This window comes from Homo sapiens, chromosome 22 (assembly GCF_000001405.40).
Source record: "Homo sapiens chromosome 22, GRCh38.p14 Primary Assembly".
Lineage (NCBI taxonomy): Eukaryota > Metazoa > Chordata > Mammalia > Primates > Hominidae > Homo > Homo sapiens.
The window spans coordinates 30,648,980-30,671,611 of NC_000022.11; the positions used below are offsets into that span (position 1 = coordinate 30,648,980).

A 22,632-nucleotide genomic window follows, 5' to 3' on the forward strand; every position below is an offset into this window, starting at 1 on the left:
TGGCGTCAGCTTTGTTATTTACCTCTGAGCCTTTCCTTGGCTCTTGTAACACCTAACTCTCCCCAGCCAGCTACCTCTCCTGGAGATCACCTGTTAAAGATGATAAGGACCCAGTTGGAGTGAGAACACCTGGAACCTAATCCTGCTCTGCCCACCTGACTGGGAGCCTCCCTTCCCTAGGCCTCAGCTTCCAGATCTGCAAAATGGAACTGATGATCCCTATGGAGAGGGTTCGAATGAGGAGCGCTGGGCAGGGCCAGGAGTGAGGAAGGAGGTAATGGCACCAACTGGCTCTGCTTTTATCTTGGGGTATTCACCCAACCTTTCTGGAAACCATCTGCAAAATGTCTCCCATTTGTGTGAGGACTAGGAGCTAGACCAGGCTGGGGCTGTGGTCTATGGAGACTGAGATTCAGGGAGGAATCATTCAGATTCAGTAACCAGAATTCGTAAGGGACCACAGTGCCAGCAAGTGCTAGACAGGGCTGAGTAAAGGGCCAGCCCACGGCGGGGTGGGAGTGGGTAGGGAAGGCCTAGGAGGACCGGTATGGGGTTTCCTGGTTCCAGCCTCCGCCCAGGCTGCCTTACAGAAGGGGAAGTCGGCCTGGGCTGAGTCACCTGTCACCCACCCTCTCTATGACTCAGAGATGCCGCTGGCCCAGCCCAGTCCCTGAGCAGCTTGGGTACCTCTGGCCTCCACTCTCAGGCTTTGCCAGGCAGGATGGAGGGATGGATGGCTGTGGTCAAATCCTCCTCGGTGACTCAGGACCCTTTCCCATCCAACTGGCCCCCACTGCCATAGCAGGGACCTCCCTGTACCACCCTCATTTCTAGGCCTTGTGGGATGCTTGGCTAATGAGTGAGCCTCACATCAGATTAAAGCCTGCCCCTGGTGGTTGTGGGGACAGGTAATTGGGGTTGTGTGTGACCTGGGAGCTGGTTTGTCACCAGATTCAGGACCATTAGACATTGAGGTGATTCCCCCAAGGCCACAGCCAAAGCCATGCCTATCACCCCTCCCAGCAGTGGGCACAGAGAGCGCTGGATTGGGAGTCAAAAAGCTTGGGTTTGGTGGGATGTGGTGGCTCACGCCTGTAATCCCAGTACTTTGGGAGTCCGAGGGGGGCGGATCACCTGAAGTCAGGAGTTCAAGACCAGCCTGGCCAACATGGTGAAACCCCGTCTCTACTAAAAATACAAAAATTAGCTGGGCATGGTGGCAGCCGCCTGTAATCCCAGCTACTTGGGAGGCTGAGGCAGGAGAATCGCTTGAACCTGGGAGGCGGAGGTTGCAGTGAGCCGAGATCATGCCATTGCACTGTAGCCTGGGGGACAAGAGCAAGACTTCGTCTCAAAAAAAAAAAAAATTAGACGGACATGGTGGTGGGGACCTGTAATCCCAGCTACTCGGAAGGCTGAGGCAGGAGAATCGCTTGAGCCTAGGAGGCAGAGATTGCTGTGAGCCAAGATTACGCCACTGCACTCCAGCTTGTGTGACAGAATGAGACTCCATCTCAAAAAATAAACAAAAATAAAAAAGAACAGGGGCTCTGGAGTTTGACTTGTGCTCGAATCCTGGCTTTGGTACATCTGAGCTCTGTGACCTTGCACAAGGTCCTCTCCACCTGTGCCTCTGTGCATTGAGTGGGGGCAGCAGTGGAACCTAATCCCCCACCAGCTTCTGGAGCTGTAATGGACAAAGGCCTAGGAAGGCCTCAGTCTTATCACAGATGCTTCCACTTCCTCCTCAAGGCTTCTCGTGTTATCTGCCCCACCCCTCCTCAGCCTGCCAGAGCACATTTGAGAGTCCCCCAGGCATGCTCCCGCCTGAGCATAGCAGCGTGGATGCCAAGCCTCCAGCCCCCTTGTCCTGCTTTGGAGGAAGCCTGGGAAGCTGGGTCTGTGCTGGGCATCCTGCCATTGTGGACTTCGAAACAAAGACCTGTCTCAGGCCTAGCTGCCTGGTGCCCCTTCTACCCTCCCCTGGTGGCCCTTGGATTGGCATTCCAGGGGGCCAGGGCAAACAAGGATTGTGAGTCCTTGTTTGGCCTGGCCCCCTGGAAGGAGTAGCTCCTTCATGCTACTCTGCCCTCAAATTAGCTCAGGGATGTCAAATCCTCCACCACTGCACTAAATAACTTCCTGGAAGTAGCACAAAATACTTAATTGAGGGCCACTTAATGGAGGACCACGAGAGGTTTTGAGCCATGATCTTTTATTTCTTTTCTTTTCTTTTTTTGAGACAGAGTTTCGCTCTGTCGCCCAGGCTAGAATGCAGTGGTGCAATCTTGGCTCACTGCAACCTCTGCCTCCCAGGTTCAAGTGATTCTTCTGCCTCAGCCTCCTGAGTAGCTGGGATTACAGGCATATGCCACCACACGTGGCTAATTTTTGTGTGTGTGTGTGTGTGTGTGTGTGTGTATATATATATATATATATATATATATATTTTTTTTTTTTTTTTTTTTTTTTTTTTTTTTGGTAGAGATGGGGTTTCACCATGTTACCCAGACTGGTCTTGAACTCCTGACCTCAAGAAATCCACCTGCCTTGGCCTCCCAAAGTGCTAGGATTACAGGCGTGAGCCACTGCGCTTGGCCAAAATAAACATTTCTTGATAAGTAGACCTTCAATTTAGTCTGGACCCTATGTAGAGAAAAAATTGGAGGGGCTCAAGACAGGAGGCAGGAAGACTAGGGAAGACCTGTTGTTGTGGTCTAGGTAACTCCATGACAGTGGGGACAGTGCTAGGGCAGAGTGGGTATCGGTTGTATTGATTTAGAGTAACAATTTATCTCAAAATCTTATGGCTTAGAGCAACAAACATGTAGTATCTCACAGTTTCAGTGGATCAGGAATTCGGGAGTGGCTTAGTGGGTTGGTTCTGGTTGAGTTTCTCATTAAGTTGTAGTCAAGATGTTGGTCTGAGCTTCAGTCATCTGAAAGCTTGGCTGGGGCTGGAGGATTTGTGGCCCCCCAGTGGGTTCACTTTGCCCACTGCCTAGACAAAGCTGATTTATCAAGACAGGGGAACTGCAATAGAGAAAGAGTAATTCACACAGAGCCTGGTGTGCAGGAGACCAGAGTTTTACTATTACTGAAATCAGTCTCCCCGACCATTCAGGGAGCAGAGTTTTAAGGACAACTTGGTGGGTTGGGGGAAGCCAGTGAGACAGGAGTGCTGATTGGTCAGGGATGAAATCACAGGATGTTGAAGCTGTTTTCTAGTGCCCAGTCAGTTCCTGGGTGGGGGCCACAAGATCAGACGAGCCAGTTTATCAATCTGGGTGGTGCCAGCTGATCCATCAAGGGCAGGGGCTGCAAAATATCACAAGCACTGATCTTAGGAGCAGTTTAGGGAAGGTCAGAATCTTGCAGCCTCCAGCTGCATGACTCCTAAGCCATAATTTCTAATCTTGTGGCTAATGTTAGTCCTATATAGGCAATCTAGTCCCTAGGCAAGAAAGAGGTCTGCTTTGGGAAAGGGCCATTATCATCTTCATTTTAATCTATAAACTATAAACTAAGTTTCTCCGAATGTTAGTTCAGCCTATGCCCAGGAATGAATAAAGACAACTTGGAGATTAGAAGCAAGATGGAGTCAATTAAGTTAGATCTCTTCCACTGTATCAGTCACAATTTTGCAAAGGCGGCTTCAGATTTACATTCAAAATGGGGCATTCACGTGGCTGTTGGCAGGAGGCCTCAGTTCCTTGCCATGTGGGCTTCTCCATAGGGCCCCTTGAGTGTCCTCAACACATAGTAGTTGGTGTCCACCAAAGTGAGTGATTCAAGAGAACAAGAAACCACAAAGTCCTTTTAAATCTGATCTCAAAAGTCACACTCTGTCATTTCTCCAGTATCTTATTGGTTACAAGTCTATTTAGTGTGAGCCCTTCCCACATTGACTACACAAAGGCAGGATTACCAGGAAGATGGGATTACTGAGGACATCTCTGAGGCTAGCTACCATATCAGTGAATATCTATTGAATGAGTGATTGAGGACGTGAGGACATAACCTGGAGCCCTATGAGGAATTAGCCTGGGAGTATTCTGTTCTGGGTGGGGTCTTGTCAGCCACACCTCTGCATCCTCCCTAACCAAGTATTGCACAGTCCTGGCCCACAGCATGCACTTAGTAAATGCTTGCTCAGTGAGGGCTGGTGGCTGCCTTCTGTGCTCCCCACCACTGGCAGGTCAAGGCCTGGGCTCCCTGGCCTGGTATTTGAAGCCCTGGATGTTCTGACGTTTCCAAGCCTACCCCCACTGCCCTGAACCCTTCGGCTATTGGGGGGCCACCCTGTTCTCTATGCCTGCTGAAGTTTTTCAGTGTCTAGGTCTCCTGCTGCCCTATCCCGACTGCCACAACCCTCATGTGCCCCCTTCCTCCTTCTTTTTTTTTTTTTTTGAGACAGAGTCTTGCTCTGTCACCCAGACTGGAGTGCAGTGGTGCGATCTCGGCTCACTGCAACCTCCGCCTCCTGGGTTCAAGCGATTCTCCTGCCTCAGCCTCCTGAGTAGGTGGAACTACAGGTGCACACTACCATGCCCGGCTAATTTTTTTGTATTTTAGTAGAGACTGGGTTTCACCATGTTGGCCAGGCTGGTCTCGAACTCCTGATCTCAAGTGACCCGCCCCCCCTCGGCCTCCCAAAGTGCTTGGGATACAGCCCTGAGCCACCACGCCTGGCCGCCTCCCTTCTCTAAGCACTGCCAGCATCCCAGCTGTACCTGCTGCCTAGGCTGGGAATTTCTGTTTGTATGTTTAGACTTTCTTTGGAGGAGAACCCTTGTTAGGCTGGAGCCCAAAATCAATCAAGCCAAAGCACAGTTCCCTGTTTTTATTTATTTACATATTTATTTATTTATTGAGGAGTAAACAGTCTTTATTGGGCTCACAGCAGGAGTCCATGGGTCTTGAGGACACCCCAGTATTTGTCAGTTTCCTTCTCCACGTTCTTTTCGGCCTGTTTCTGTAGCCTCATTAGCTGTTTTGTTTTTTTGTTTTTTTTTTTTGAGACGGAGTCGCACTCTGTCGCCCAGGCTGGAGTGCAGTGGCGCGATCTCGGCTCACTGCAAGCTCCGCCCCACGGGTTCACGCCATTCTCCTGCCTCAGCCTCCCAAGTAGCTGAGACTACGGGCGCCCGCCACCACGCCCGGCTATTTTTATTTTTTATTTTTTTAGTAGAGACTGGGTTTCACCATGTTAGCCAGGATGGTCTCAATCTCCTGACCTCCTGATCTGCCCGCCTCCGCCTCCCAAAGTGCTAGGATTACAGGCGTGAGCCACCGCGCCCGGCCATCCCATGAGCTGTTTCTTATTCTGGTAGTGGATCTTGGCCTTCTCCTTCCTCTTCTCCTCCAGGGTGGCTGTCACTGTCTGGTACTTCCAGCCAACTTTGTGATCCAGCTGCCCCAGGTAGGCAAACTTTCTTGTAGGCTTCAGATGCACAACCTGGAGGGCAGCAGGAACCACCACCTGCTTTTTCGTCATAGGGTGGTGGGATGCCGTTAAACACCTTGAGGCGGTCTTGGGCGGCCTGGCTTCCTTGGTCTCGCGGGGCAGCATGCCTCGGGGTCCGCCAGAAGATGCGGCTGGGGACCCGGAAGTGGTGGGGGCCCAGAAGTGGTAGGTGCCTCGGGAAGGGTTGCTGTTCATCCACTTGTGGAGGAAGGCCAGGTACTTCAACTTCTTTCTATAGACATTGCCAGAAATACTGATGCCCCCGCAGTGTACGACCACCACCTTCCGGCCTGCTTAGCCACCATGGCCCTCAGGAAGCCCAGGAGATAGCTTTGACCATTGAGCACCGGGACCTGCCCCTCTGCCATCTTCGGCAGCCGCCTGGGAAAGGAGTTCCCTATTTTTAGATGAAACAGGGAAGGGCATGGGGCCCCTTCACCCCTGAGGTACCTCTGCCAGATTTCCCTGGAACCCTGTTTGAAAACCACAGATCTAGTTCAATCCTCGTTGTCCATATGAGGAAACTGAAGCCCAAAGAATAGAAAGAACCAAGACGACCTTGTGCAGAGGGAGCAGTAGGATTAGGACTTCACCCTCCTAATTCCTGGGGTTCTGCTATTCTCTGCTCCCTACACTGCTATGAAGAACAGAGCCACGGTGTGAAGTTACAGGGGCTGTGCAGGGTCTGGCCCAGGGTTGTAGGGACAGTTTGCCACAAGAAGCCAGCAGCCAGGTATGGTGGCTCACACCTGTAATCCTAGCACTTTGGGAGGCTGAGAAAGGTGGATGGCTAGAGCCCAGGAGTTCCAGACCCATCTGGACAACATAGCAAAACCCTGTCTCTACGGAAAAAAAAAAAAAATAGCCAAGTATGGTGGTGCACGCCTGTAGTCCCAGCTACTTGGGAGGCTGAGATGGGAGGCTGCAGTGGGCTGTGATTACACCACTGCACTCCACTCTGGGTAACAGAGTGAGATCCTACCAAAAAAAAAAAAAAAAAAAGAAAAAGAAAAAAAGAAGCCACTAGCCTGGCATTGCATAGCTCAGTCAACAAAATATCCTTTTTTTTTTTCTTCCAGGAAAAGTAATTACAAATGTTTTGCCAAGGGCACGTCTAGCATGTCTCCCAGAAATGGGCCTGCCTTAGTATCCCTTCCATACCCAGGAACTAGCTAGAAGGAGCCTCAAGGAATCTGGTTTCAGCATAAACATGATGATGGATTTCAGTGTCACAGCTGGGAGCCCATAGTCAATTCTGCTTTCTGTAAATAGAGGTCTGTGGGGTGCCTTCTTATGCACGGATGGCATTGTGATTCCCATTTAACAGAGTAAGCAAAATTTCAGAAAAATTCCAGGGTCTGCCTGAAGTCAAAGCCAAGAGGTGGAAGAGTCAGGATGAGAATCCACACCTCTTAACATTCCTCCCAAGCTCCTTCTTAGGTGATATTGGGTCACGATCCAGAGGTGGAAAGTAATGGATTCTTAGGACTTTTTTTTTTCTTATTTTCATTCATTTATTGAGGCACCACTGCACTGCATCCTGGGCAAAAGGGTCTCACTCTGTTGCTGAGGACGCAGTGCAGTGGTGCCATCATAGTTGACTGCAGCCTCAACCTCCTTGGGCTCAAGCGATCCTCCCACCTCAGCTTCCCAAGTAGCTGGGACTACAGGTGTGCACCACCATGCTGGGCTTTTTTTTTTTAAACTTTTTGTAGAGAAGGAGTCTCACTATGTTGCCCAGGCTGATCGCAAATTCCCAGGCTCAAGTGATCCTCCTGCCTCAGCCACCCAAAGGGCTGGGATTACAGGCATGAGCCACTGCACTTGGACTCTAAGGGCATTTGGATTTAACATCCCAGGATAGGAAAGCAGGGCTGTGTGCTTCAAGGTCAAGAGCTACCTGCCCCTGGGATTTGTAATTAGATCGCCATCTCAACAGAGATCATTCCGAGAAATCCTCAGGGCCAACAGCATGTCCCTGTTTATCTGACAGGGCATTATAAACTTCACAGAAACTTCTCAAACCAAATTTAATTGACTTTGGAAAGAAAGTGATTCCTCACTTTTGGAGTGAGAAAGTTAAAGGTTCATGTAATCAAAAAGAGGCCTAGAATCCCTGTTCTAAGCCAGGCTGGTAGGCTATGGGACCACTTCTTTCTCCCCTACTATAGGACTGCATTCAAACCTCAACATGACCTTCTTCCTAGGTTGTCTGAGTAAAAGGCTGCTCTACTCTGAGTCCAAAAGAACAGTGTGAACTGTTTGGGAAAAGGACGTGGACCCTCTCAAAAGCCCTCAACCTTAACCTCTCCCACTTAGGATATGAACTCCTGGTCTCATCATGTCCAATTCTGAATATTTAAAAAGAGAGTTAAAAAGGAGGAATGGCTTGGCCCAGTGGCTCATGCCTGTAATCACAGCACTTTCGGAGGCTGAGGAGGAAGGATCACTTGAGCCCAGGAGTTCGAGACCAGCCTGGTCAACATAGTGAAACCCCATCTCTATTTTGTATAAAAATATAAAGTAATTAAAACTTAAAAAAGGAGGAATGAAAATTATGTTTACTCAACTATGAAAAAAATGCTCAGGAGGAAGGAACTAGATCACAATACTAATATGTTGACTTGGTTACAACGATGGGGATATTGTGGCTGGACCATATTTGTTTTCCTTTTTCTACGAATAAGCATGTAAGATAAATTTCTGGGCTGGGTGCAGTGGCTCACACCTGTAATCCCAGCACTTTGGGAGGCCGAGGTGGGTGGATCACCTGAGGTCAGGAGTTTGAGACCAGCCTGGCCAACACGGTGAAACCCTGTCTCTACTAAAAACACACACACACACACACACACACACACACAAATTAGCCGGGCGTGGGGGCGGGCACCTGTAATCCCAGCTACTTGGGAGGCTGAGGCAGGAGAATTGCTTGAACCCAGGAGGCGGAGGTTGCAGTAAGCCGAGATCACACCATTGCACTTTAGCCTGGGTGACAGAGCAAGACTCTGTCTCAAAAAAAAAAAAAATTCTGGCCGGGTGTAGTGGGTCGCGCCTATAATCCCAGCACTTTGGGAAGCAAAGACAGGTAGATCACTTGAGCCCAGGAATTTGAGACCAGCCTGGGAAATATGGTGAGACGCTGTCTCTAAAAAAATTTTTTAAAGATTTAAAAAATAGGCCAGGCGCGGTGGCTCATGCCTGTAATCCCAGTACTTTGGGAGGCCGAGTCAGGTGGATCACGAGGTCAGGAGATCGAGACAATCCTGGCTAACACGGTGAAACCCCATCTCTACTAAAAGTACAAAAAATTAGCCGGGTGTGGTGGCGGGCACCTGTAGTCCCAGCTACTCGGGAGGCTGAGGCAGGAGAATGACGTGAACTCGGGAGGCGGAGCTTGCAGTGAGCCAAGATCACGCCACTGCACTCCAGCCTGGGCAACAGTGCAAGACTCTGTCTCAAAAATAATAATAATAATAATAATAATAATAATAATAATAATAATAATAATGATTAGCTGGATATGGTGTTGAGTACCTCTAGGTTCCAGTTACTCAGGAGGCTAAGGTAAGAGGATCATTGGAGGCTGGGAGTTTGAGGCTGCAGTGGGCGGTGATCACACCACAGTATCTAGCCTGGGCAACAGAATAAGACCATTTCAAAATAAATTTTTTTTTTTAGTTAAAAAAAACTGAATCTCTCGGGGTTCTAGTTCTAAGTAAGATAGAGTAAGCAGTCTGTCTCTCCCACTGGCTGCAACTAAAAGCCCTGGAAATAATGGATCTGAGGACTCTGAAAAAGAAATATTAACAAGGCTGGGTGCGGTTGCTCATGCCTATAATCCCAGAACTTTGGGAGGCTGAGGCAGGAGGATCACTTGAGGCCAGGAGTTTGAGACCAGCCTGGGCAACACAATGAGACTCTGTCTCTAGAAAAAAAAAAATTTTTTTTTTTTGGGGGTAGCAGCAGTAACAGTGGTGGCCAGAAAAGCACCTAAAACTCTGACAAAGCGGAATCCTTTCATCTGTCCAAAGCATCTGCAATCTGAAAAGTAGAAGAGGGGAATCTCCGTTGCCTTTTTTCTCTCTTCATCCTGTCACCTGGCCCAAGAGTACACCCGCCATGGAGGGTGCGTAACAAGCAGGGAGACTAAAGGACCCAATTTCTAGCTAAAGGGTCAGGAAAATGAGGGGTCTTGAAAGCTGGAGAATGTGGACAGGAGAGAGCTTGTGAAATAGATCCCATAAAGTTGCACATGAATTTGTAGGTTCACATGCATGGACCTGACCCTAAGCAGTATTCCAGTGAATGAGAACTGAACTATTAGGCAGAACACCCAGGTTTCAGACTGCTCACTGGGGGGCATAAGCTTAGGACTGTTCTGATTTACATGGCAAAGGCTTTGAAACTGAACTGATCGGCTGGGCGCGGTGGCTCACGCCTGTAATCCCAGCACTTTGGGAGGCTGAGGCGGGTGGATCACGAGATCAGGAGATCGAGACCATCCTGGCTAACATGGCGAAACCGCATCTCTACTAGGCATGGTGGCGGGTCCCTGTAGTCCCAGCTATTCGGGAGGCTGAGGCAGGAGAATGGCGTGAACCTGGGAGGCGGAGTTTGCAGTGAGCTGGGATTGCGCCATTGCACTCCAGCCTAGGCGACACAGCGAGACTCCATCTCAAAAAAAAAAAAAAAAAAAAAAAGAAGAAACTGAACTGATACTGGAACTACAATAGCCCACAGGAGACAGATGAGGATCGAACCGAAGAGGGTCAACTGCCTCCTAAAACAAAAACCTGACATTTTCCGTGGGATTTAAACAAGACCTATTCAAAATGCCTAGGATACAATCAAAATTACACACAAAGAACAAGGAAAGTCTGGACCCTGAGATGACCCAGATGTTGGAATTATCAGAAAAAGACTCTTTTTTTCTCTCTTTTTTTTGAGATGGAGTTTCACTCTTATTGCCCAGGCTCGAGTTCAATAGCATGATCTTGGCTCACTGCAACCTCCGCCTCCTGGGTTCAAGCGATTCTTCCGCCTCAGCCTCCCGGGTAGCTGTGATTACAGGCGCCCGCCACCACATCCAGCTAATTTTTTGTATTTTTAGAGACGGGGTTTCAACATGTTGGCCAGGGTGGTCTCGAACTCCTGACCTCAGGTGATCCACCAGCCTCAACCTCCCAAAGTGCAGGGATTACAGGCTAAATAAGAATTTTAGAACTAAGAAAATATAAGAATCAAGATTTGGAAATGATGTTTCTGACCTATTCCCTGGAAAATGTGAATGTTACTTTATATGACAAAGGAGACTGCAGATGTAACTTATGCAGATGTAACTGATTTTATTTTTATGTTAGTGGGCTCATTCTAATCACATGAGTCTTTTAAAGCAGAGTGATTCTCTCTGGCTGGACTTAGATGTAACAGAAGGAAAAGTTAGAAGTATTTAAAGTGTGAGAAGAATTCAACCTATTTCTGGAGGGGCACACGTAGAAAGCACCAGAATGTGGGCAGCTTCTACAGAGAAAAGGCCAACCCCCAGCTGACAGCTAAGAAAACAGGGTCCTCTACCCTGCAACTGCAATACACTAAATTCAGCCAAGAACCCAAATGAATGTGGAAGCAGATTCTTCCTCAGAGCCTCCAGGGAAAAACACATTTGGTTTTGGCCGTATGAAACGTGATTTGGACCTTGTGAGACTCTAAGCAGAGGACCTAGTCAAGTCCAATCAAGCTTCTGACCTATAGAAATTGTGAGAAAATATATGGATGTTGTTTTAAGCCACTAAGTTTGTGGTAATTTGTTACAGCACCAAGAGTAAACTAATACATTATCCAAAATGAGCAGCAGAGAGAAAAAAATTTTTTTTTTGAAACACAGTCTCACTTTGTCACTCAGGCTGGAGAGCAGAGGCACGATCTTGGCTCACTGCAGCCTTGACCTCCCTCCTGGGCTCAAGTGATCTCTCACTTCAGCCCCAACAAATAGCTGGGACTACAGGTGCATGCCACCACACCCACCTAGAGAAAATTTTTTAAAAAATGAATAGTCTCAGGAATTCACGGACAATGTCAAAAGCTCTAACATTCATGTTATCAATGACACAGAAGTACAGGACAGTATGGTACAGAAAACAATACTTGAAGAAATCATAGCTGAGAACTTCCCAGATATCTGAAACACAATCAAGTGGCTCTGTGAACTCTGATAAGGATAACCGAAAGAAATCCATGTCCATATACATCATAATTAAACTGATGAGAACCAAAGACAAGGAGAAAATCTTAAAAAGCAGCTGGGGAAAAATAAAGCATTACCTGTTGGGAAACAATAGTTAGAATGCCTCTGGATTTCTGAGAAAAAACCATGGAGGCCAGAAGGCATAGAACAATTTTTTTTTTTTTTTTGAGATGGAGTCTTGCTCTGTTGCCCAGGCTGGAGTGCAATGTCCTGATCTTGGCTCACTGCAACCTCTGCCTCCCGGGTTCAAGTAATTCTCCTGTTTCATTCTCTAATCTCAGTAGCTGGGATTACAGGCACTTGCCACTACGCCCTGCTTTCGTATTTTTAGCAGAGACAAGGCTTTTGCCATGTTGGCCAGGCTGGTCTCGAACACTTGACCTCAAGTGATCTGGCCACCTCGGCCTCCCAAAGTGTTGGGATTACAGGCATGAGCCACCACGCCCGGCCTCAATTGTATTTCTATATACTAATAATGAGCAATTGGAAAAAAAATCTACAATAGCCACCCCCCCGCCAAGTGAAATATAGTTTGAGACCCATTCATGGATCTCAAATCCAAAAATGTGAAATGCTCAAAATCTAAAACTTTTTGAGAGCTGAAATGACTATCAAAGGAAATACTCATTTAAGCATTCTGGATTTTAGAGTTGGGATGCTCAAGTAATATTTGCTTCAGGTAAAGCAAATATTAACCTGAAAATAATCCAAAATATTTCTGGTCCCAAGCATTTCTTTTTTTCTTTTCTTTTTCTTTTTTTTTTTTTTTCTTTTTGAGATGGAGTCTCACTCTTGTTGCCCAGGCTGGAGTGCAATGGTGCAAGCTCGGCTCACTGCAACCTCCGCCTCCTGGGTTCAAGCAATTCTCCTGCCTCAGCCTCCCAAGTAACTGGGATTACAGGCACCCAGCTGTTAAAAGAAAAAGCATTTGGCTTCTACTGGAATCTGGAGCCACAGTTTGGTGTCAAACAGAGCAGCTGTGCTTTTGTTTCAAATGCTGTTTGCTGAAAACCTCTGGATCAGAAGAGCTGGTCTTCAGCCAGGTCCTTGGCACCAAGAGGATGTGAACAATCCTGAATTCCAGGGCCTACTGATGGAGTCCACTAGTTAGTCCCTTTGACACGGCCCCCTTATGGATCCCAGTAGTCAGCCGGGGTGCAGGTTTTCATAGTGATTCTAAACAAGGCTGCAGTCACTGTTTAGAAGTGATTGGGGGAAGCTGGAACTGTGCTCCTTGTTTCAGGACCTCTAGATTGCACCTAGATTAAACAAGACGGAAGCTCTCAAAAGGCTCTAAGTCTAGGCCTCCTGTGAGGTAGGGTCTGAAAGGACTTAAACCATTTTTTTTTTTTTTTTTTTTTACACACAGGGTAACTTTTTGGAAGAGTACTTTGTAACAATAAAGTGCTGTGCACAGAAAGGAGAAATGCCATTATGGGGATGTGTGTGCCGACCTGGGACCAGCAGGGTGAAAGAGTCTATCATTCATGATGAGAGCTGCCATTTGCGCTAAGCACACACCATGTGCCAGGCACTATGCCAAGAAATTGTTGAATCTTCACAATAACTCTGTGAGAAAAGGGCTGTCATTGGACAGATGAGGACACTGATGCTCCCAGGGGTCCACATCACATGAAGAGGAGGTGACAGGGCTGGGCCTTGGTCCGAAGCTCCAGCCTTCCAAGCCAAGGCCTGTGAGAGGAACCGCTGAGACCTGATGTTAGGCCTGTTTTTCTCATGTGCCCTGGAGAAGGGGACTAACACCATCTTTTGCCAAAGTTTGGTGAGGGATGGCCAAGAGCTCTTTGAAACTTTGCCATGTACAATAGCACTCACAATTTTTTTTAAATTTTTTATACAGTGGTATCGGGGTACAGTGGCTCATCAACACTTTGGGAGGCTGAGGCGTGAGGATTGCTTGAGGCCAGGAGTTTGAGACCAGTCTGGGCGACATAGTAAAATCTCATCTCTATAAAAAAAGAAAAAAAATGAGGCGGGCATGGTGGCAAACATCTGTAGTCCCAGCCACGCAGGAGGCTAAGGTAAGAGGATCACTTGAGCCTGAGAGGTTGTGGCTACAGTGAGCCATGATCACACTACTGCACTCTAGGATGGGTGACAGAGCAGGACAGTTTCAAAAAAAGACAAAAAAAAATTTACACAGTGGAATGCTTTCTTTAAAAACTATCTTATGCATAAGTACAATCTAGAAAACCAGAACTGGGCCACTTATAGTGAAGGTGGAAGCAGAGGTGGCCTGGGACCCCCCAGGATTCCTGGAGCACTGCCTGAAGGCCATTTATCTAGTAGATTGGCACTCACTGTAAGAAGCGCAAGAGGTACCATGATGCTTAAGGCTCTGGCTCTGGGTGTGAAAGAATGAGGTGGAATTGTAGCAGATTCATTCCTGGGTCAATCTGTTTTTGGGGAGGGCTGCAGGATTCCAGGCCTGCCATGTGCAATGGGTGCTGCCCTCTTTCTTCTGGGCACCATCTGCCTCAACCTATCCCCTGGCCAGTGTCACTCACAGGGCAGAAAATTTATCTTCACCATCTCACAATTAGTTTAATCTTAAAAAAAATGGATTATAAAGTTAAAAGCTACAGCAACTCTTTTTTGTGCTCATAAAAGGCATCATCTGTTTTTTTCTGTATCAACAAAAGTAGAATGTTCAAGTTTGGATCTTGGTGTAAGATCAACAATAGATCTGTACCTCTGACTCCAATGCAGGGGCTCGTGGGATGGCTCACAGTGGAATCATCAAACGGACTTCCTTCTCATAGATGTCAGGGATCATTCCCACTGGGGAACTGACCATGTGCACAGTGTTCTTGCCAAACAATTGGAACTCATAGTGGATGAGCTGCTCCCAAAAGCCGCTGTTGGGTCGGATGATGGGCCGGCATGACTTGGTCCACGTGTGGGCGTCCAGCAGGGACATGGCGTGGTACTTCATGAGGTAGGCGAGGCACAGGGCAGCTGAGCGGCTCACACCAGCAGCACAGTGCAGCAAAGTACGGCCCTGCTTCATCTCCACGCTGTGGATATGGTCAGCAATAGGGTCAAAGAAGTCACAGAGACGTGAGTTAGGGGAGTCAGCCACAGGTACCTGCATGTACTGGATATCCTCATACAAGGTGTTCACTACCTCCACTGAGACATTGATGACCATGGTGATCTGGTTGCTAGACAGCATGAGCTTGTTGTTGGCGGCCACACCATTGCTGATATACAGGCTTTTGGTTATCTGCGAGAGGCCGCTGACTGAGGGCTGCCGGAACTGAACTGGGAAGGCACACGAGGGTGCTGTCATCAAGGCGGTGGGTCAGTGGTCAGCAGTCAGCGAAGCACGAAGGCTGCGTCTTTCTGCTAGGCTGTGTCCATGGAAAACTGCAGAGAGGGAGAGGATGTTTAGAGGGCAGGTGCCCAGAGGGCCAATTCCAGGGGATCCCTGGGAAATGGATGGATAGGCTTATAGCATTCCCCAAGGCAGTCCTCTGACCATCACAGCAGAACTACCCAGCAAACTCATTTAAAGTACAGATACCCAGGTCCCTCTCCAAACCCACAGTCAGACTCTCGGGGTGAAGAGCATGAATCTGCATTTTCAGCATGCTTCTCAGGTGGTCTAATGTGCACTGCCCTATAGGACAAATGGCAAGTCCCCAAGTCTGGCACTTGAGGCCTCCCTTGAGGGGTCCCACAGCTCTAGTTGGGCAGATGACTTGTGTCCCTCAGCTGTGCCTTGGCCTGATTCTCCATTTAAGCTCACAGAGCCCTTTTCTTGCTGCTCTTCCAAATTCTCTCCTTCCTTCCAGCCCCTCTGAGTGGGAACCATTTGTACAGTCTTCCTCCTCAGTCTTCTGACTTTATGCCCAAATCATAAGGTCCTGAGCCAGTGGCATGGAACCAGAGCCCACTGTGCTGGCAGTCACTGAGGAGGCTGGTATAAGAGTAGGGAGGGTTCCCATTTTCCCCCTCTAAGAACCATCTCTTTAAAGAGACAGGATATGCCCATGCGAAGCTGATGTCAAATACAAAGTCCTAAATTGTTAGACATGCTCCTGCACCTTGCCTCTGAAGAAGGCCTGGGAAAGGGAGTGGCTGAAAGCTTCCTGGAAGCCAGCATAATGGGCACCACAGCAACCCCAGGGACAAGCACAGAGACAGCAGGGCCTTAGGAAGACCTGCCACACCTGCATCATGCTGCCTGCAGCAGAGCTGTGAAACACACCCCAGGGAGAGGCAGACCCCTTCCCTTCACCTGCTCGATAGGCTCAGTCGCCGCTAAGTAATTGGGGTAGAGGTTCAGCCGCAGATCTGCTTCCCGCGCCGCAGACCGTGCAGTCGTCGGTGCTCCTCAGGTGCGGCCTGGGTGCCCAGAGCATTCATTAGACTCTCGGACCCTCACTTTCTCAGTCTTAAACAAAGCTGCAAAAACCAGGACATCTTTATACATTCCGCTGAAATAGGGACATTTGGATTTAGATCACACCTTTCAAGGCCAAGTGGCAGTCTTCACCAGGCACGAGAAATGAGGAGCCAAAGTTTTGTTTCCCTGCTTAATATATTTCAGTGGCTATCCACTGTGAGGATAAGATGGAGCCACTTAGTTTGGCTGTCAAGGCCATTTGTGACCTGGCTCCTGCCTGTCTCTCCAGCCTCTTATTAGGCTTCTCCATGCTCTGAAGGGCCTCAGGTGAACCGAGCCACTTACAGTTCCTTAGGGACAACCTGTCCTCTCCAGCCAGTGGCCTTTGCCCCTGCTGATCTCTCAGTCTCTTTCCTTATGAACCCATCAGATCCTGATCTGGTCCATTCAGCAGAGGACTGCAGAAGTCTGAGGAGCCTTAAGATATCAACTTAAAGGTAACTGTTTTAAGGGAAATCTCCTTAGATCACACCCCTCCCTCACGTTTGACCAACTCTGCTCCAGGCTTTCTTAGCCCTATGTTCTCTCCTTCCTAACACTTACTGAAGACGTAGTTTTGCTCCGATCTGTCTGATTATTTGATTAATGTCTGTCTCCCCAAGAGACTGTGAGCCCTTTAGGGATATGATGGTGTCTGTCTTCACTCCCACTCTATCACCAACTAGTGCCAAGCGCTGTGTCCCCACAAGTAGGTGCTTGATAAATATTTGTTGAATGAAGAAATGACTCCCAACAGCTATGACTCTGCCTTCTGAGAGGTTTTCTGGAAAGAATGAGTTCTCTGGCAGCGTGTCTCCAGAATTCCAGGGAGGGGCTGGGTGGGGATGGGGGTGGTTCTGAGGCTACTAAAGAGAAAGACCAAAGGTTGTATAGGCAAATCCTACCTGCCAATGCCCCAGACTCAAATGCATCAGGCTCATTCCCGGAAGGACAGAGAGGGCTGGCTTGCTACAGAGGTGATATGAAGGGCAAAGAAAAAGCCTCCTGAACCCAGATGGAAGTCTAAATGCTAAGGAATGTTCTGGATCCTCGTCATCAGAAAATCCATAGAGAAGTGAACTGATGTCCCCCCAAACCAGTGCCCAGTGGGTAACGGGAATAGAGGAATGTGCTGTTCATTATAGCCACTAAAAGTCTGCAGAAGTGACAATGCTCTTGCAGGTGAGGGTAGTGATGCGAGGAGTCATTTTCATGCTAGTTAAGAAATATCTATCAGGGCTGGGCACGGTGGCTTAAGCCTATAATCCCAGCACTTTGGAAGGCCGAGGCGGGCAGATCACCTGAGGTCAGGAGTTCAAGACCAGCCTGACCAACATGGTGAAACCCCCGTCTCTACTAAAAATACAAAAATTAGCCAGGCGTGGTGGCATGGGCCTGTAGTCCCAGCTACTCAGGAGGCTGAGACGGGAGAATTGCTTGAACCCGGGAGGCGGAGGCTGCAGTGAGCCAAGATCGTGCCACTGCACTCCAGCCTGGGAGACAGCGTGAGACTCCATCTCAAAAAAAAAAAAAAAAAAAAAAAAAGCAATCTCTATCAGGCACTGTATTAGGTGTTGGAGATACTGAAATGTACAAGACAGGCATGGCCCCTTTTCTCAGGGAGCTCAAAGACTAGTGGGAGAAACAGATAGTAAACAGGCAATTACAGGCAGACAGAGCTTGAAAATAGGATAACAGTACCTACCTTAAAAGGATGTTGTGAAATTAAACGAGATAATCCACGTAAAGAGTTTTCTCAGGGCTTGGCATAGAGTAAGCCCTCTCAAAATGATAACTATTTTTCTCGCTTCTGATAGGGAAGTTAAAATGCAGGGCTCTGTGAAAGGGAAGTGTAAAAAAGATTTCTTCCAGGTCGGAGCCTAGGGAGTCGCAAAGACCACCTGAAGAAATCACAAAAGATCTAAAGAACGTTTAGCTTGAGAGGGAGGAGGAGAAAAAAATAGCAACTCGGTAGCAGTTCAGCTTCACCACTTTACAGCCTATGAAGTATTTGGCTTCCCTCATCTGGTTCGATCTTCAAAGCAACCTAATCAGACCGGCGTCTAGAGTTAATATTTCCATTTTACAAAAGAGGAAAGTGAGACACAGCGCGGAAAAGGACTTGTTCAGAACGAGTCATAAAGCAAAGAAGCCGACCTTTATGGTCCATTATGTGTGGGAAAAATGAACAAACACCGCGGGGCGTTCGTGAAATACTAAGTTATAAACATGGAACAAAGTCCAAGAGTTAACGAGAGCGAAGCATCACTTCTAGGGGTGGGCCGGGTAGGTTTCCTAGGGGAGCTGGCATTGGAATAGGCTTCTTCGCCTGCTTAGTGTCAGGACCCCCAGGGTTTTACCTCTCTCCTTCAGGCGGGTGGGCGGGTTCGCTCAGGAAGTAGCCGCTTGGGGAAGCCTTAGGCAAGGTTCTTCGGGAGAGAGACCCGTCATGATCCCGCAGCCTCAATCCCCGCTGGCCTAACGCTTTGGTTTCCATAGCAATGGGCTCGTCGCAGAAAGGAATAGCCTGTGCCGGGTCTTCAGAGAAATCCTGGCCTCGGCTCCACGCCCCTGAGCAGCCCCACCCTGGCTCAACCTGTTACCCGCCCTGCCGGCAAGCCGGGGTCACTGCAGTCCCCGTGGCGAAGCAGGGTCAGCTCAGCTCACCGCACCCCACTCCATCCAGCCCTGCCCATCTCTACGGCAACGGGCCGGGTCGCACCAGGGCTGCAGCCGAGAGACAGTCTCACCGCTTCCGTAGCCGCCCGGGCTCTGTGCGCATGTGCGACACTCCCTCCCCGGCCCCGCCCCCTTATGCGTCTCCCAGGCAACGCGCCGCGCGGGGCTCCAGGTTCCGCCCAGGGACTAACTCCAGGTCTGCGCGCGTCCAACGAGCACGGCTCTCAACCGGCCTCCTGGCGCCCAACGACCATGGCTTCCAACCGGCCTCCGTGCGCCCAACGACCATGACTCCCAACCGGCCTCCAGTTTCCAACTGTTTCTCGAACAGGGAAGCCGCCATGACACAGCTGACTACGCCCTTGGTCACAGGGGACCTGAGATCCTCCACGATTTACGGGACCGGCGCCACCTCGGGCTCGAACCACCCTCTCGATAGGGCCGCCGCTAAGTAATCGGCGTAGGGGTTCAGCCGCACATCTCCTTCCCGCGCCGCGGACCGAGCAGTCGTTGGTGCTCTTCAGGTGCGGCCTGGGTGCCCAGAGCCTTCGTTAGACTCTCGGACCCGCAAGGGAGCCCGAACTCTTTCAGACTCGCTCTCCCTCAGCCGGACCTCGGCCCTTTTTCACACCCCAGGGGAGTCTGGATTTCTCATAGTCCTGGGCACCAGCCCCTTCCCAGTCTAGCTCTTGGGACTCCCTGAAGCCGGAACTCCCTCGCCTGGACTCCCGGGAGAACCTGGAATCCCCATCTCCAGTCCACATTTTCTCAGAATCTGTCCTAGCCCTTCAGTCTCCCAGGCATGACATCGTGTGGTCCCAGCGCCCTAGGTGGTGAGCTGTGACTCTCCTTAGAGCCTGGCGAGGCCGAGGTCCTCCCCAGCTCGAACCCATCCCACACTCCCCTTCTCAGCCTCTGTGTTCCCCAGTGGTCCTGGAAAAGCCCCCAGTTCCCTCTGCCTGGCCCCAATCCTCACAAACCCAATTACCCACGCTCCTTTCCATTCCATAACCCCCATCACTGCATCCTCCAGGCTCCCATCCATGGAGGACTTGAGGTGGAAAGCAATTTGGTTCAAAATAACCATTATTTATTACTTGAAAGGGAATATTTCCAGTCGTTGCCAGCCTCCTCCCCTTCTAGTATTGGTAAATTTTTTGCACCACTGAGTGGGTGAAGAGTTTTATGCGTCTTTAAATGTTTTAAGGATTTTTTTAAAAAAACAAAAAACTCTCAGGATTTGGGGGACTTTTGTGTTTGAGCATCTTGATCTCTAAACCAGCTTTTTCCATCACCTCACACCTAGGCTATGCATAGAGGTCAGAAAAATGTAAATGAGAGATTGAGAAGTTGGATTGTTCATACTAGTTTGTAAATATGAAAACATTCACAACACTCCAGTTCCAAATAGGCTGAAAATGCATTAGAAAAACTAGTCCTTCAATATTTTTTATCCTTCTACAGTTGTCTTTTTTGACCCAATTATAAAAGTAGTGTACACTTATAGAAAAATGAGGACAGGCATGGTGGCTCACGCTTGTATTCCCACCACTTCACTTTGAAACGCTGAGGCAGTTGGATCACCTGAGCTCAGGAGTTCGAGACCAGCCTGGGCAACAGGGTGAAACCCCATCTCTACCAAAAATACAAAAAATTAGCCGGGCTTGGTGGCTCACCTGTGGTCCCAGTTACTCAGGAGGCTGAGGTGGGAGGATCACTTGAGCCTGGGATGTGGAGGTTGCAGTGAGCTGAGATTGTGCCACTACTCTCCAACCTGGGGGACAGAGTGAGACCCCGTCTCGAAGAAATAAAAAGAAGACAAGACAGGCCAGCAGCATAAGTGGCTAGGGACAATCACTGTTAACATTTTGGTGTATTTTGATCAGAATCCATTCATATATATATATATATATATATATATATATGTTACAACATGCTTATACTTAAAAAAGATACATCACAAAAGTTCACTTTTTAGTAACCTGCTTTTTTCTCCCATCTAATATACCACCCGTCTATGTTTCATACACAATTACATGTATTTTATTTTATGACATACCAAAATTTATTCAATTGCTTCCATACTGTAGATTTTGTTTCCGCATTTTAGAAAGAAAATATGAACAATTTTTTTTTTGAGACAGAGTCTAGCTCTGTGGCCCAGGCCCGAGTGCAGTGGCACAGTCTTGGCTCACTGCAACCTCTGCCTCCTGGGTTCCAGTGATTCTCCTGCCTTAGCCTCCTGATTAGCTGGGATTACAGGTGCTCACCACTACACCCGGCTAATTTTTGTATTTTTAGTAGAGATGGGGTTTCACCATGTTGGCCAGGCTGGTCTCGAACTCCTGACCTCAAGTGATCTGCCCACCTTGGCCTCCCAAAGTGCTGGGATTATAGGCCTCAGCCACTGTGCCTGATCCTGAAGAATTATTTTTAAATGGGCAAAACCATTTAAAGGTATTTATTTGTAAGACTACTTCATGGTGTAACCAAATTATCAAAAAGTGAAAATGCAGTGCTTAGAAGTATATCCACTCTTCAGCATTTCCTCATTTTGACCAGATTGTTATATTTTCACCTGGAGTACCTAGCTCCATTCTACCCCACCCCACCCCATGTTTCACCTCACCTTTCAGAGTCTCCTAAAACCCCTGTCCACCCCACACCTCCCTATTCTAAATTTTCCCCAAACCTTCTTCTGGAATTCCCCTATTAACCAGCCTAACATCTGTCCAAACTCTTACTTTTATTTCTCCCTGCTCTGATCTATACTCCCCCAAGCCCCCGCCTCCCAGATCCCCTTTAGGCACAGGGTCTAGAGCAAGTGCTCCCCAAGCTAAACACCTCTCAAATTCATCCTTCGAACCCTACTCTACAACTTTTACTCCTCCCCTCTAAGACCCCTCTCTCCCATTTCATCCTTAAGAAGGATCATCAAGATGACTGCTTTTGGCTGGGTGGGCATGGTGGCTCTCACGCATGTAATCCTACCACTTTGGGAGCCCAAGGCAGGCATATCTCTTGAGGTCAGGAGTTCGAGACTAGCCTGGCCAACATGGTGAAACCCCGTCTCTACTAAAAATACAAAAATTAGCCAGGTGTGGTGGCGCATGCCTGTAATCCTAGCTGCTCGGGAGGCTGAGGCAGGAGAATCGCTTGAACCCGGGAGGTGGAGGTTGCAGTGAGCCGAGATTGTGCCACTGCATTCCAGCCTGGGAGACAGAATGAAACTCCATCTCAAAAAAACAAAAGACTGCTTTGGAAGATGGTTCTGAGTTCCTGATAACCCTTCTCTTGTGGACTGCACTGGGGCCCTTTTACAAACACAGAATTGCTTTTCTTCTGGGTGTCCATGAAACACCCCTTTAGCATATCTTTCCACAAGAAGAAACTGTGGTTACTCCCTTGCTTCTCTGAAAATTGTAACAGAGCTGCACTTGTCCTAAGATACCCGGGGAAGCCTCAGCCACTCCCCCAGGACCCTGTCAAATCTGCTCTGGCCCTGGCCTCAGCCATCTGTAACCTGTGTCACCTTTCCCTCCCCGCTCCAGCTTAATGATTCCAGTGAAGCAGCAGTGAAAAATTTTTTACTCATATAAAAAGAGCAGTTTATCTTGGGTGGGTTTTTATGACAAGCTCATAGCACAACGACTCCATGAGGTGCAGGTAAAGTAGCCACAAGCTTTTGCATTAGAGGGTGTTAGTGGCTTGACCCATATTCATTTCATTCTCTCTATATCCTGGGGGATCATAAAGGTGATAGGAAGTCCCCAAGGTGCTCTAAGGCAGGCCCCGTTTTACAGAGGAGGCAATTCACACTCAGGGTTACTG

General features: G+C 48.6%; 2 protein-coding genes and 1 pseudogene across 13 annotated transcripts in view, besides 1 other annotated feature; 1 reads left to right on the forward strand and 2 right to left on the reverse strand.

Moving 5' to 3' along the window:
- Positions 1 to 20,040, forward strand: part of SLC35E4 (solute carrier family 35 member E4) — a 33,239-nt gene extending 13,199 nt beyond the window's left edge. Inside the window, exons 2-3 of one of the 2 annotated variants that reach the window (NM_001318371.2) lie at positions 16,514 to 16,580; positions 18,622 to 20,040. In NM_001318371.2, the coding sequence (NP_001305300.1) occupies positions 16,514 to 16,578 (65 nt within the window). In that variant the 3' untranslated portion in view covers positions 16,579 to 16,580; positions 18,622 to 20,040. Of the gene's footprint in view, positions 1 to 180; positions 275 to 13,080; positions 14,321 to 16,513; positions 16,581 to 18,621 lie in introns of those variants that run through there. The other variant, NM_001318370.2, reaches the window with a different exon arrangement.
- On the reverse strand, positions 3,072 to 18,896 carry DUSP18 (dual specificity phosphatase 18). 11 transcript variants are annotated; one of them, XM_047441159.1, is made up of 5 exons: positions 18,483 to 18,896; positions 17,828 to 17,959; positions 15,976 to 16,142; positions 14,425 to 15,101; positions 11,538 to 14,281 (listed from the first exon to the last, which is right to left on the reverse strand). In XM_047441159.1, exon 4 carries the CDS (start codon positions 15,022 to 15,024, stop codon positions 14,458 to 14,460), a length of 567 nt encoding a protein of 188 aa, XP_047297115.1. In that variant the 5' UTR covers positions 15,025 to 15,101; positions 15,976 to 16,142; positions 17,828 to 17,959; positions 18,483 to 18,896; the 3' UTR covers positions 11,538 to 14,281; positions 14,425 to 14,457. The 11 variants fall into 11 exon arrangements, 10 of the variants coding, with proteins under 10 accessions (XP_016884117.1, NP_001291724.1, XP_047297115.1 ...); XM_017028628.2 differs by lacking the exons at positions 11,538 to 14,281; positions 15,976 to 16,142 and adding an exon at positions 3,072 to 3,318; XR_001755171.3 differs by lacking the exons at positions 15,976 to 16,142; positions 17,828 to 17,959 and having other exon boundaries at positions 14,425 to 14,749; positions 14,860 to 15,101.
- Positions 4,872 to 5,860, reverse strand: RPL13AP26 (ribosomal protein L13a pseudogene 26; annotated as a pseudogene).
- Positions 18,994 to 19,383: an enhancer, noted in NCBI's record as "active region_18842". NCBI's record gives its function as "activates an Ori minimal core promoter by ATAC-STARR-seq in GM12878 lymphoblastoid cells {active_cell/tissue: GM12878}" and the evidence as "EXISTENCE:reporter gene assay evidence [ECO:0000049][PMID:35858748]".
- Positions 20,041 to 22,632: the final 2,592 nt, after the last annotated feature.

What these genes read in the sequence shown, in the direction of transcription:
- DUSP18 (NM_001304795.2), bottom strand. Translation starts at nt 15,024, where the DNA reads ATGACAGCACCCTCGTGTGCCTTCCCAGTTCAGTTCCGGCAGCCCTCA.